General features: G+C 51.4%; 1 protein-coding gene across 1 annotated transcript in view, besides 1 other annotated feature; it reads right to left on the bottom strand.

The window, feature by feature from the left end:
• Window positions 7606-7790: a silencer, noted in NCBI's record as "fragment chr2:95930712-95930896 (GRCh37/hg19 assembly coordinates)". NCBI's record gives its function as "represses an EF-1alpha promoter that drives an FKBP-Casp9 reporter gene in an ReSE screen in HepG2 liver carcinoma cells {active_cell/tissue: HepG2}" and the evidence as "EXISTENCE:reporter gene assay evidence [ECO:0000049][PMID:32094911]".
• ZNF892 (zinc finger protein 892) overlaps window positions 9168-14053 on the bottom strand; it is a 57232-nt gene continuing 52346 nt past the window's right edge. Inside the window, exon 6 of the transcript XR_007073288.1 lies at window positions 9168-13678. The gene's annotated coding sequence lies outside the window, so the exon portion shown is untranslated. The remainder of the gene's footprint in view (window positions 13679-14053) is intronic.

Raw genomic sequence — 14053 nt, 5'->3', positions numbered from 1 at the left:
CCAGCTCCTCCTGTAGGGGTCCAACCCCAGGGTGTGCAGAGAGGCCCCTAGCCACACTGCCTATGACTGTGTTGTGAAGCTCAGTGCAGGCTGTGCCTAGGCCCTCCCACAGCCCTTCCTCCCGACTCACCTGAACCCAGCATCTATGTTGGGGGCTCCTGGTTCCACAGAGGCTGCATTGAGGAAGGGCTGGTCTCTCCAGGGCCTCACTGCTTCTCCCTTCTCCTTCTCCCTCCAATTTAGGCTGTTAGAAAGAATGCCTTCCCCTGGGATGGCTTTCTAACCACCCCATCAGCAGCAAGATGGACACAGCCCTCACCCGAGCACCTGCCGCTTAGGCGATTTTGTGTCTTCTGACTCGGGTGCACTAGTGGTGGGGGAATTCAGGTCCCAGCTTCCTGGTTAGTAGTAAAAGCCCTTGGAGACTTGGGAAATAAGCAGCTTTGGCCCCACGTGCTCCACTCCCACCCCCTCTCTCTTCTCAATTATTGTCATAATTAAGCCAATCATTGGCTACTGCTATTGTTTTTATTTGTGTGTATGGTGAAAACACTGTAGTTTGAAGATAATAATTCCCCTAGGAAAAACAAAAACATACCAAGCCTCTTCTTCAGCCCAGGGCGGGATGAAGATGCTGAATCTGCCTGTTGAACAGATGGAGAAATAGATGCATGGAAGAAAGGACTATTCTGAGTCAGCAGCCAAGCCAGGAGTGGACAGGACAGTTCCCCTTCCCCCCAGCAGGATCCCAATAAACAATTTATCATCGGATCCACCAGTCAGCCCCTGCCTCCACCCATCCCCAGCCCTGTGTGGGAGAGCAGGTGGGGTTCAGGATCCAGCCCTGGAGTTGGGCAGAGGAGGCAAGGAAGCCACTGCCCTAATTGAATTCCCTGGAAAAGCCCAGCAAGCAGGCAGGTGGGGGCTGCTCACAAGCATGGGTGCCCTTGGGGCAGCCACTAAGGGGCTTGGGGGGCAGGGCAGGCCACCCAGCTGCAGGGCTTCTGGAAGTGGGGATGGGAGGCCAAGGGGGGTCCTGGCCCCTCCTTTCCCTCACATCTTTCTGGGCATACCTGCACTTTCTCTGCTCCTGTTGACCCCTGGCACCCTCTGACCTCCGTGGGGAATTCTTTGGTTGACCAGGAGAAGCTTCTCCTGGTTGCCCTGGAAACACCTCCTGGGGCCACGTGCTCACCCTGACTCACGCATCTCCAGAAGATCGATGTTCCCCAAACCCCACAGCCCCAAGGTGCGGAAGAGGCGGGGAGAGATGGAGACCTCAGCAAGGGAAGGGACTCTGCCCTCCAGAAAGCCCCAGGGCCCCTCTGGCTGCCTCACACAGCCATGCTGGGAATAGACCAGCAAGATGCTCAGACACTCTCAAGGAAACAGCAGGCAAGAAGACAGGTTCCTCTTCTTTCTTGCCTCTGCTATCCATGCCATACACTGGGAATGAGTTTTAAACCAATTCAAGGGGACAAAGACCCACTTACCAGATCATCAAGGCTACGCACGGCCACTGTCTTAGTCAACATTTTTGATGGCAACAATGAAAAACCCACTTAGGTCAGCTGAAGAATTTGAAACATGAGGATTTATTATAGAGATACAAGGGCACTTTTGGAGTCCAAGGTCCTTCAGGAGGGCTCAGATCCCGGAAAAGGAAATCCATCAAGTGCCCCCATGTCTGTCTCAGACCCTCTCTCTGGGACGGGGCCTCTCCCCAGTGCACGCTGGCCTCCTCTGCAGAATAGATTCTCCTCATCCAACATGGCAGAGAGGGCTGCCCTGCCGATCTGAGTCTATGTGTTCTCCCAGGTGGTCTACTATGAGTCCCACCAGCACCACAGGCCACACTCTTCATCCTAGTGGGAGGAAACTGATGGTCCCAACCGGAGGCAGGGTCTCCCAGTCCACCAGGGCCCTCTGGCTACAACAGCCTTATATGGAGTAAGCATAGCGGCTGGGCCCAAGCTTGTGGCACATGGTGGCCATGGGGGAACAGGCCTCTGGGATGCCTTTCTGGGAATATTTTGGAGCATTTTGACCACCACGCTCCCAAAATGTGGGTCCCTGCCTGACTTCTTGTCCCTCATTCTGGCATGCAGCCAGACATCCAGCCTTCCAGCACCCCTCCTAAGTATTGCTTCAGAAAGGACCATCGTGAATGCAGATGGACCCCAGGCTCCCCTGCTTCAAACCTCCTAGCGGCTCCTACACTGGACTCCTTAATTTGTCTCCAGGGCCCTCCAACATTGGAGCCCTTCTCCGTTCCCCTGGCTAGATCCTGCAGTCCTCGGCTCACCCTACCACACTCCCCTCCATCCTGGCCCTGCTCATGATTTCCCTTCTTTATCCCCAGCCTCCACGTTCACTCAATTTCTGCTCATCCTTTAAGCTTGGTTCAGTGGTCACCTTCTCTAGGACCCCTAGGCTGAGTGAGGGGTCCTTTCAAGGCATCCCTTAATATGAAACCTGCCCCCATATTACCCGTTTACCTGTCTGTCTCCCCCACATAGACAGGACTGAGTTTTACTCACCGTCACATCCTCTTCAGCCCTGAACACAGAACCCAGCATATTCTCAGCATATTCTCCAGTCTCGAAACTTTGGAAAAGCACATCTGAATACATTTAAAGATAAGATCTGTTCCCCATAAGGGCCATGAAAATAAACAAACCAAAACCCCTGGCCGGGTGCAGTGGCTCACGCCTATAGTCCCAGCACTTTGGGAGGCCAAGCCGGGTGGATCACTTGAGGCCAGGAGTTCCAGCCCAGCCTGGCCAACATAGTGAAACCCCATCTCTACTAAAAATACAAACATTAGCTGGGTTGGTGGCAGGCACCTGTAATCCCAGCACTATGGGGGCCGGGGTGGATGGATCGCTTGAGCCCAGGAGTTCAAGACCAGCTTGGCCAACATGGTGAAACCTTGTCTCTACCAAAAATACAAAAAAAAAAAAAAAAAAAAAATTAGCCAGTCTCATAACCTGGTCTTCAAATAAATAAATAAATAAATAGATTTTTTAAAAAGAAGAAGAATGAATGGGTGAATCCCCAAACTAAAACTCTGTGCCGCTGTGATGAGTGAGCCTGGTGAGGAAGGGCGAGGTGGGTCGGGTGGGAAAGGGAGGAGGCTCTTCAGTGAGCCCTGGGACCTTCTTCATGAGCCTCTCCAGGCAGTAAGGATGGGATGCAACCCAAACAGAGGCTGCCCAAGTGTGGAAGTGTGTGAGGGTTTCAGCAAAGTGTCGAGAGTCCCCATGACGGCGACGGCAGGCCAGTAAGGCACTAGAAGGCCACGGGACATCAGGGCCTCAGGGAGCTTTGTTAGAAGTGGTCAGATTGGGAGGGCAGGGGCCTGCAGGCAGGGATGGCTGTGCTCTGGTTCCCTGTGGCAGGGTGAGTTTCTAGAAAAAGCAGGCCACAATCAAACAGATCCTCCAGAAAGACCTGCTGTAGGAAGGCTTCCGGTCAACTAAAAACTTCAGTCCTTGCAGCCCAGGCCCACGGGATAGGCTATGCCTCCTCTCAATGGCCAGGTGGGTCCCCTCAATGAGTACCCTCTGCTCCCTCTCCATGGTCCATGGCCAGGTGAGTGCTCTTCCCCCATCTCCATGGTCAGGTGAGTCCCCTCTGCCCCCTCTCCATGGCCTCTGTGTCAAATGGGAAAGCAGCATCTTCCAGCCTGACCCAGATCTCCTCATTGCCCAGAGCCTCCTCGGCTGCCCTCTCTCTCCAAGATCAGCAGGGGACTTGTCTCAAGGTTAGGCTCAGGCCACATCTGACACTGGCATCAGCTGCCCCTCTCCCTGGGGCCCTGGAGCCCTGACCCCTGGGGAGGAGACAGAGACAGAAGTCTGGTGTGCAGAACCTCGAGGCTGCTGAAGCCATGTGTGGTCTGGTAGCATCACGGAGCCCCCCTAGAACTGGACTTAGAAAGACAGTGGACACACGTTGGCCAAAAGCCGCTGGGCCTAACCTGACACCTTCTCCCCTTCAGTCTCTTCCCCCACATCAGTGGAAGGAGAGGTCATTGGTGTTCCCCCTTTGGAGGGGCCATGTGTCTGTTTCTGCCTCTTGGGGGCTCACAACAGCACTGTCCATCAAACTCTCCCGAGCACTGTGGGGCCCCCGGAGTCTCCTGATGTGACCTGCTCAGGTCCTCAGGAGCTCTGCACTAACAAGCTGAAATAGACAGACTTTCTATTGCATCCTTTGTCCCTGAGATAGTTCTGGGAGTCCAGGGTGGAAGAGCAGAGGCTTCTCATCAGTGGGGCCCGGGAAGAGGTAGGGCTAGGCCTAAAGATGAGCCTGCCCAACCATAGCCCGGAGCCTGGGATGGGGGTGCCACGCTGGGGTGAAACGTGAGACCCAAAGCCTGAAGGAAGTTTCTGGCGGCCCATTACCTACTCTGATCACAGCCTGCCCTGCTCAGCACCTGGAAACCAGTCTCATCAGAGCACCTACTGCACAGAACCATGGGGAAAGTGTGTGGTCCCGATGGCAGGAGGAGGCCTGGAAGGGATCTGGAGAGACTGGAATGGGGCTCATACCCACTGCCCGAAAGGGAGGATGAAACGGCCAACTCAAGGATTCTCAGACTCACAACTGTTTGTGGAAACAGAAAGACCATAAAGGATTAGCTGACCGCAAGTTATTGTGAGTTAATAATGTGGCGAGATGCCCAGGATGCTTTTGTAAGGCTAGATGGCCCTGGAGGTCAAAGGTCTGGCAGCTGGGGCCTGTGCTGTCGTCCTGCACTGCCCAGCCCTGCTCTGCAGCTTGGACTCCCTCTCAGGACAGTGACAGTGAGATGAGGCAGGGCCAGGAGCACTGAGCCAGGACAAGAGCCGCCCCCAAGGGTAAGGAGGCAGAATGGGAAGGTCAGGGGAAAGCGGCATTGGCTTCCCATCTTCCACACTGAGAGGAGCCAGAGATCTGACCCTACCCTGCCTTCTCCCCCACTTCTTACTTACATTCTCTGCCTTACAGACCTGGCCACCCACACCTGGTTCAAGGCATGGAAGGACGAGCGCAGGCACTTTGGCGCAGGCCTCCAGGGTCCCACTCCCAGCAGCATTTCCCTTTCCTACGCAGCTGGTGCACTCTGCAGACCAAAAGTGCATGCTCTCCCCAGACCATGGGAGAGGACATAGGACACCTGACACCCAAGAGCCCCAGGTGCTCCCACACCCACTGCACAGACCCCTCAGAAGTAGAGCCATGTGGCATCTCCCAGGAAGCAGGAAGGACCTGGACCATTGCTTTCTGAGGCTCTTTGAAAGGAAAGGCCTTTCCTCTCTGGGTGGGCTGCAAAGAAAACTCATCTCTCACCCCCATGTCTCCACCTGGCTGCCTGTCAGAATCACCTGCAGATCTCTGGCTCATGCCCCAGAGCTCCCAAATTCGAATCTCTAGAAGTGGAGTTCAGTGTTTGTGAGTTTTGTGAGCTTGCCAGGACGTTCTGGTGGGCCAGGAGGCCCAAGAGCCACTGCCAGGGCAGCCCCAGGCCCCCCTCACAGGAAACAGCTCTTATCCTGTAGGGCAGGGGCACCCCCACCTCATAAGCTCCTGACCTTTCTATGTGGGCTGGTGAGGGGGCATCAGGATCCCTTTCCTGCCTCTGGCCGTCTCTCCCCCCACCTTCCACGTCCACCGCAGCCTGCACCCTAAATATAAGGAGCCTTTGCACCAAGCCTCAGGGACCAATACACACAAGTAAGGAATAGGCATGAGAAAGGAGGGTGGGAGACGGTGGGTGCCCTCCACGCTGTCACAAGGGGTGGGGCAGGAAGCAGCTGGGTGGCCGGGAGGAGCCTAGGCTGCAGATGGGCCCAGAACATATCTCAGGAAGCCTTCAGCTAGTTGGGGGGCAGCTGCAGTTTAGGGTGTAACACCCACTGTCGGCATGTGTAGAGATGCAGACGCTCCCTGCCAAGGTCTGGGCAGCCTATGGGGTGCTCTGGGGGACCACTGGGGACCAGCAAGGCTACATGGAGCTCTTAGGGATGGACTACCAAGCTGGCAGGAAAATAGATGAAGTCAGTGACCAAAGCAGTTCCGCTGCAGCGAATGCCTGCCTCACTCCAGCTGATCATTCCAAATGCAGAGGACAGCAGAGAAAGGACCTCAAAATCAAGACGGCAGTGGAGCAGTGACATCCAAGTGCAGAGGACAGTGGGGCAGGGCCCCCCAAATGCACAGGAGAGTGGATTATCAATGCATTAGAAAGACAGGGAGTGTTGGAGCCATTCCTTCCAGAAGCACAGGACTCACTTGGGAAGTGGAAGGATTGTTTGAGTTCAGGAGTTCGAGGTTACAGTGAGCTATGATTGAATGTGCCACTGCACTGCAGCCTCAGTGACAGAGTAAGACCTTGTCTCAAAAAAATAAAGAAGCATATGATGTGGAACAGCAGCTCCAAATGCAGACGACATTGGATCAGTGACATCCACATAAACTCAGAGGACAAGAGCTCCAATGTCTCCAAATGTGGAGGGCTGTGGGCAGAGCCTCTGACACAGGTTATGTTAGGCTGTTTTCGCATTGCCATAAAGGCATACCTGAGACTGAGCAATTTATAAAGAAAAGAGGCTGGGCACGGTGGCTCACGCCTGTAATCCCAGCACTTTGGGAGGACAATCACTTAAGGTCAGGAGTTCGAGACCAGCCTGGCCAACATGGTGAAACCCCGTCTCTACTAAAAATACAAAAATTAGCCAGGCATCGTGTTTCACACCTGTAGTCCCAGCTACTCGGGAGGCTAAGGCAGGAGAATCATTTGAGCCCAGGAAGTTGAGGTTGCAGTGAGCTGAGATCACACCACTGCACTCCAGCCTGGGTGACAGAGTGAGACTTTGCCTCAAAAACAGAAAGAAAGAAAAGAGATGTAACTTGCCCACGGTTCTGTGGGCTGTACACAAAGCTGGGTGCCAGCATTTGCTCAACTTCTGGGGAGGACTCAGAGAGCTTTCACTCCTGGCGGAAGGTAAAGGGGGAGCAGGCAGGTCACATGGCGAGAGTGGGAGCAAGAGAGAGAAGGGGAAGGTGCCAGACACCTTTAAACAACCAGATCTCGCGTGAACTCACAGCAAAAACTCACTCATTACCAAGGGGACGGCACTAAGCCATCCATGAAGGATATGTCCCCATGATCCAGTCCTCCCATCAGGCCCCACCTCCAACATTGGGGATTACATTTCAATATGCGATTTGGAAGGGACATAGATCCAAACCAAACCACAGGGTAAATGGAGTGGTGTCCCCAAAGGCAGATCACAGTGAAATGCCTCCAAATGTAGAGGAGAGTGGAGCCGTGCCTTCCACATGCAGGGGACAAGGGGCAGGCCCATGGAAGCGCACAGTGGAGTGAGGCAGTTCCACCGAAGGCAGAGGACAGGGCAGCTGTGCCTTCCAAATGCACTGGGCAGGGAAGCAGTGACTCCAGATGAAAGTGAGAGAGCAGCAGAGACAGCCAAGTGCAAGGGGCATGGGAGCCCTGCCTCCCAATACAACAGTGTGGGTTGTGAGCCTTCCCACATACAGAGCAAAGAGGGAATGCTGTCTCTTTAAATACATAAGACTGCCAAGCAGTCCCAGGTCAGTGAAGATGACAGGGGAGCATTGACTCCAAAGGGAAGCAGTAGTTGTGGAGCAGTGCCTCAGCCTGCAAAGGGCAGGGAGGCAGTGGCTCTGCAGCAGAAGACAGGGTTTGTGCCTGCAGATGAAGATGATGGTAAAGAAGAGAGCAGCAGAACAGTGTCCCCCAAACACACAAGCAGAGCAGTGCCTTCCACATCCACAGAAGAATGGAAAAAGGGCTTCCCACTGCAGAAAACACTGGAATGTTTCCTTCCAAATGCAGAGAATGTTGGAGCCGTGCCTCCAGCTGGAGTACAGTGAGCAGTAACATCCAAATGCCGAGTACAGCAGAACAGTGCCCCCAAATGCAGAGACGGCAGAGCAGTGCCTTCCTAATATGTCAGACGGTGCATAAGCGACTTCCCAGTGCAGAAGACAGTGCAGCAGCGCTTCCAAATGCAGAACAGTGTGGATCAAGGGCCTCCAAATGCACAGGCCACATGATCTTCCCTCAGACTGTTATAACCAGCCAAATTACCATTTCAGTGGCATAAAGATGGCAATATTAGACCTAAAGAACCTAAAACATTAATATATCCTGCATTCTTTTTTGTAGAACTTCCTAGAGGATGTATTCCTCAAAAATGGTGGCACAAGCCAAGAATAAGAAAGATACAGGAATCAGGAAACAGTGAATCAATGCCAAAAGAGAGGCAGAGACACCTCAGGATGACAACCACCTGTTTACGTAACTTGGAGACCACCCAGACCAGATTAGAGTGGGAGAGGAGCAGTGTGTGTGTGTGTGTGTGTGTGTGTGGATGGAAGGGAAAGAGGGATACCTGGGGATAGGGATTCTAGAATAAAGGAAAACTCTGTAGAAGGTGCCTGATGGAGTATTGGAAATAAAGATATGTGTCTAGTAAATTATGCAAGTTACCAAACAGGGAAATTTTATAACATGGACTAAGAAAAGAGATGCAATCATAGTACACCTGCAAGAGTTAGGCCAACACTGGAGGTGGAATTCATTCATATTATAGCAATTGTGGCCGGGTGCGGTGGCTCACACCTGTAACACACCCTAGCACTTTGGGAGGCCGAGGCGGGCAGATCACCTGAGGTCAGGTGTTGGAGACCAACCTGACCAATGTGGGGAAATCCCACCTCTAGTAAAAATACAAAAATTAGCTGGGTGTGGTGGTGCATGCCTGTATTCCCAGCTACTCAGGAGGTTGAGGCACAATAATCGCTTGAACCTGGGAGGCAGAGGTTGCGGTGAGCCAAGATGGCACCACTACACCCCAGCCTGGGCAACAGAGCGAGACTTTCTCAAAAAAAAAAAAAAAAAAAAAAAAAAAACCAAAGAAACAAAAAATAAAAACAAACATATTAAAGCAATTGTAGTGTGATGAAAAAGGATGAAGGAGCTACATTTGATTCTCTCATAATAGAAAGTTAATACGCAATGTCTGTGTTCACAAATCTAGATACAGCAACATTTTTTAGAGATATGGAGGTAATATCAGAAAAAATAATTAAGAGAAGAAAGTTGGATTGCAGGCAGCAAGGGCAGGGCAGGGTTTTGCTGATTTTGCAGTATAGTTCTTTTTGTACTGTTTTATTTTTTACCAAATGTATGTGTTATTTTGCCAAAAATTTAATATTTTATGTGAAAGTGATCAGGTTTCTGTATTCATTTTCTATTATTTCTGAAAGAAATCCCCACAAGCTTAGTGGCTTCAAGCCATGCAAATGTATGATCTAATTGTTCTGTAGGTAGGAAGTTGGGTAGCTCGGCTGGTTCCTCTGCTCTGAGTCTCACAAGACTAAAATCAAGGTGTGGGTTGATGGCTTGGGCTCTGATCTGGAGGCTCTGTGGTAGAATCTAGGCTGTTGGAAGTATCCAGGTCCTTGTAGCTGTAGGACTGAGGCCCCTGTTTCCTTGCTGGCTGTTAGCCATGGGTGCATCCAATCCTCCTCACCTTTGGAATCTCTCTGACTCCTGAATCTGCCATATTCTCTCATCTTTTCTGCCTTATCTCTCTGACTGACTCATCTGCTTCCTAATCTGTATTTAATGACTCACACTGGAACCAATTACATATTTCAGGATGATCCCCTACCTTAAAGTCTGCTGGTTAGTAACCATAATTACATCTGCAAAGTCGTGTCACAGCCATACCTTGAATGACATTTGATTGAATAGCCAAGGGACAGGAGTCCTCCAGGGACATCTTTAGAATTCTGCCTATAATAGGTTTGTTGATTATAAAGCTCCTTATTGTCTTTATTTGCTACTATAACTTCTGAGTCTCCCAGAAGGGGGATTTCTGTGTCAAGTATCTCTTGGATTAGGTTCAGTTGAATACGTCAGAAAACTCCAAATAACAGTGGGGAAACCTAAGCCGAAATATATTTCCTCTCACATAAAATGAGACTGGAGGTTGAAAATCTAGGGCTGTCCCGGCAGCACCATAAATGTCAACAACCCCTGCTCCTTCTCTCTTTCTACTCTATCATCCTAAGGCAGTCTCTAACCTTGTGGTTACTTCAAGGAACAAAATGGCTGCAGAAGGTCTAGTCATCCCTTCCACATCCCAGGCTCAGAGATGGCTGAGAGGAGGTGTATCCCTCCTGGTCTCAACTTCCTTTAAACAGCCTTCCCAGAGGTCATCCCCAGACCTTGAACTCACATCTTATTAGTCAGAACTTGGTCATAAGGCCACACATAGCTACAGGTAGGGTGGGAAACATGAACTTTCGGCCGGGCACTCTGCTGCCTGGAATAAAGACACAGCTCTGTGGCTCAGGGAGAAGGGAGTGTAGACACTGTGTGGATGAAGCCTTCAATGCCATCCTCTGTGTCTCGAGGTTATCTGACTGTAGATGCATTTTGTTCTGAGTGTACCAAGCAAATTCTCCCTGTCAGAGCACAGCTCAGAAAGTGTGGCTGTTCTCCCTCACTTCTCCCTCACTTGCATTCTTGCTGCCTAATACATTTAAGTTTTACTCTCCTAGTCCCCAATTAGTAAAAGTATTTTAGAAGCAAATGACATAGTACTGAAGAAAATAAAAATACATATCCATAAGTTGTGTTGTATTAAAATAGGATCCTGTACTTGTCAAGCGTAAACGAAATAATTCATGTCTTCTCTTTTCCCTTTCATTCTTGTTTTACTCTGCTGGTACTTAAATACGTTAGAGCGTGCACTGACTGGCACCACACCTCCATGTAGCTCTGAAGGAGAAGGGGAGCCCCCAATGCCTGCACGGGGCCCATTCCTACCAGCCTTGGCCCTGGAACTTGATGCATGACCAGTCGCAAATGAGGAACTCCCGGGACTTCTGCCTGGAGGTCCCCAGGCCCTCTCCTTTCATATTCAACTAGATGGCTCAGCCCATCCCACAGCATCCCTCCCACCTCCTTGCAAGGCAACTTCCTCTATCGAAGACCTCAGCACAGTAGAGGATTCTGTAGTGTCCCTTTGCTCACTTTGCTACTGGTCACAACCTGGAATCTGGGAGCCAGTCCCTGTCCTTTGTCCTTGAATCTCCACTAAAAGAATTGTGGAGGCCAGTCGTGGTGGCTCACGCCTGTAATCCCAGCACTTTGGGAGGCTGAGGCAGGCAAATCACCTGAGGTCAGGAGTTCGAGACCAACCTGGTCAACATGGTGAAACCCCGTCTCTACTAAAACTATAAAAATTAGTTGGGCATGGTGGCGGGTGCCTGTAATCCCAGCTACTCAAGAGGCTGAGGCAGGAGAATCACTTGAACCCAGGGGGCGAAGGTTGCAGTGGGCTGAGATAACCCCATTGCACTGCAGCCTGGGCAAAAAGAGCAAAACCGTGTCTCAAAAAAAAAAAAAAAGAATTGTGTAAGGGTCTTTGACAAATGGTTGGAGGTAAGGAAGGTAAGTGCCACAGAGGAAGGAATGTCAGTCATCACGTTCCTCCTGATGCCCTCACAGGTGTCCGTGGTGGGGAATCTCTCTGGGCTCTGCCTGCCTGCAGGGCCTCCCTCTTCTGGGTTGTCATGAGTCTCCTCCTGTCTCAGATCCTGGCACTGAAAACTCAAACTTGTAGCCTGATGATAACATCATATGGGGTTCTGTCTGGGGCTGGAATGTGAGCCCTCTCCATGTACACAACCCTTTGCAGGTCACTGTTGGAGGGATGCCTAGAGGACACTGCACACTAAGAGAGAACCACCTGGGCTGCAGGCCGCCCTCACCTTCTCATTTGGGATTCATGAGCCACTGAGGACTCCAGTCTTCCATGTGCCAAAGCGGGGTTTGGCCTTGCTGACCTCTGAGATTGACCCCCGGCTTCACCAATCAGCTGCTGGTGATCCCACCTCCCATCATGCAGGAAGCAGGCACTTCCTGAGCAGCATTCTTGCAGATGAGGCAGGGCCCAAGACAGCAGAGGCAGAGGCAGCAGTTTGCCTGGGCCCAGGGAGACAGAAATGGGCCCTTTACTCTTGCAGTCAGTCTTCTTGTCCCCAGAGGGAGAGAGGATGAGAACCCAGGAGACTGGCTTTGTTGTCAAGGTTTCCATGGAGACTGGCAATGTCCTAGGGGGACCTGTGGTGTAAATTACAACCTGGTGAAGTAGGCTGCTCTAGGATGTCCAGGAATGCACTTTGGTGAGGGAGGCAGTGCCCCCAAATGAAGATTGGGCCTTTGATAAGAAGGGGAGACAAAGAAGGAATTATGAGTGTCAGCAGAATGGAGCCCAGGAGGAAGAGCTGAGGGGGATGGCTGGCATTCAGGATCTAGGCTAGATCAGGGAGAAGGCGGGTAACACGGAGGCCAGACACTGTTTCAAAGTCAGTGTGAAGCAAGGAGGTGGCAAACCCAGGAAGGGACAGAAGGTCAGCAAAAAAGGGTGGGTGTGTGTTTGGCGCCCAGGAGGAACTAGATGAGCTGGTGAGTACAGATGCAGAAATGAAGTGTGGCATGTGAGCACATGTTGCAACAGGCAGCAGGCTGCTGGGAGAAGCACCAGAAGCATAAAGCAGAAACTCAGACATGGGCCAGCTGGAAAAAGGAGCCTTGGTTCTGTGATATGTTGGGAGCCACGCAGCAGCCGGACCTGGGTGTGAATCTTGGAGACAGAAGCTTCCCAGGGCACCTCCAGGATCCAGGTTTCACCTAACCAAAGCTCTGACAAGAAGCCCCAGGGTTAAGTGCGGCTCCTCCCTGGTGGTGTCAGGCTCCCCAGGAGCACTCCTGTGGGAATAATAGCCTTTGCTTCAGGTGGGGTGGGGAACAGCTGGAATCCCCTCCTAGGACTCTCTCTCCAGGAAAATCACTGTGATTCAGCAGTGCTGCTCCTCTACAGAGAAGCCCAGCACCTCTGCACTTAAAAATTAGTCAAAGGCAGCAGACTGCCTGTCCTGGAGCCCAGGGCTCAGGTTTAGCCTATATTATCATGAAGAATAGATCACAAGTGAAGCCATCGGATCATAACACTCGCCTCCCACTGGTGCCCCTACAATCAAGTTCTGTCCCAATGTTTGTTGGCCACCACAGCCAAGACAATGCTCCATGTTCACTTTCCTCTCCCAGATGCTGGGGAAGATTGCATATTCCAGGCTCCATTGTAGTTGGCTCAGGGACATGTGGCTAATTCTGATGAGCAGGCTGTAAGTTAAAATCAAGTGGGTTACTTCTTGGCTGAAGCACAGCAAAGTAGGTGTGAGGTCACCTGGCTTTCTTCTCCATGGGGGAGACCCTGAAGCAGCATGCTGAGATGGTGATGTAATAAGATGGTGGTGCCTCCATCTGCCTGGATCTCTGGGGTCTTGTCAGAGCCGCCAAACTCAAGCCTCCAATCTCCCCCAAATACACACATACACACTCCAATCCCAGTGAAGAGTGGCAGAACATTCAACCCCAAAATAGGCCACTTTGACATAAGGATTACCTCAAGCTAAGGCAACTTGAAAACAGCAGATGCAACGAGGGCACTCTGATCTTCCTTCTTTCCCGGAAAACAGGAGACAAAAACTCCCACGTGAAAGGTGCCCTCCTTTCTCCAGAAGAAAGGAACATTCTTCAATGGGGAGTTGTCGCCAAGAGAATTCCCTGCAAACAGACCTTGTTAAAGTAATTCTCTCCCTTGCACCTCGCCACATATCCAGTTATTCTCTGCAATCGCTTCTCCTTGTCTAACCTGATACACATGCAGGCAGTTCTTGCCATTTCTTTCCGCCTTTGATCCCTTATGAGAATTCCCATGTTATGTAAAACTTACATAAATGTGTTTGTTTTTCTCCTGTTAATCTGTCTGATGTCAATCTCATTCTCAGGCCCAGCAGAAATCCTAACAGGTGGAGGAAAAGGTTTGCCCTCCCTACAGTTTCTGGTGATGAGGATGGGACCCTAAAAGGTTAAGATGCCCCATTTGCTCTAGAACCTATGGACGGGGCCCTGGGAGAGGTAGGAATTCTTACGGAGTCA

This window comes from Homo sapiens, chromosome 2 (genome assembly GCF_000001405.40).
Source record: "Homo sapiens chromosome 2, GRCh38.p14 Primary Assembly".
Classification (NCBI taxonomy): domain Eukaryota; kingdom Metazoa; phylum Chordata; class Mammalia; order Primates; family Hominidae; genus Homo; species Homo sapiens.
This window is presented reverse-complemented; position numbering and strand designations above follow the sequence as displayed.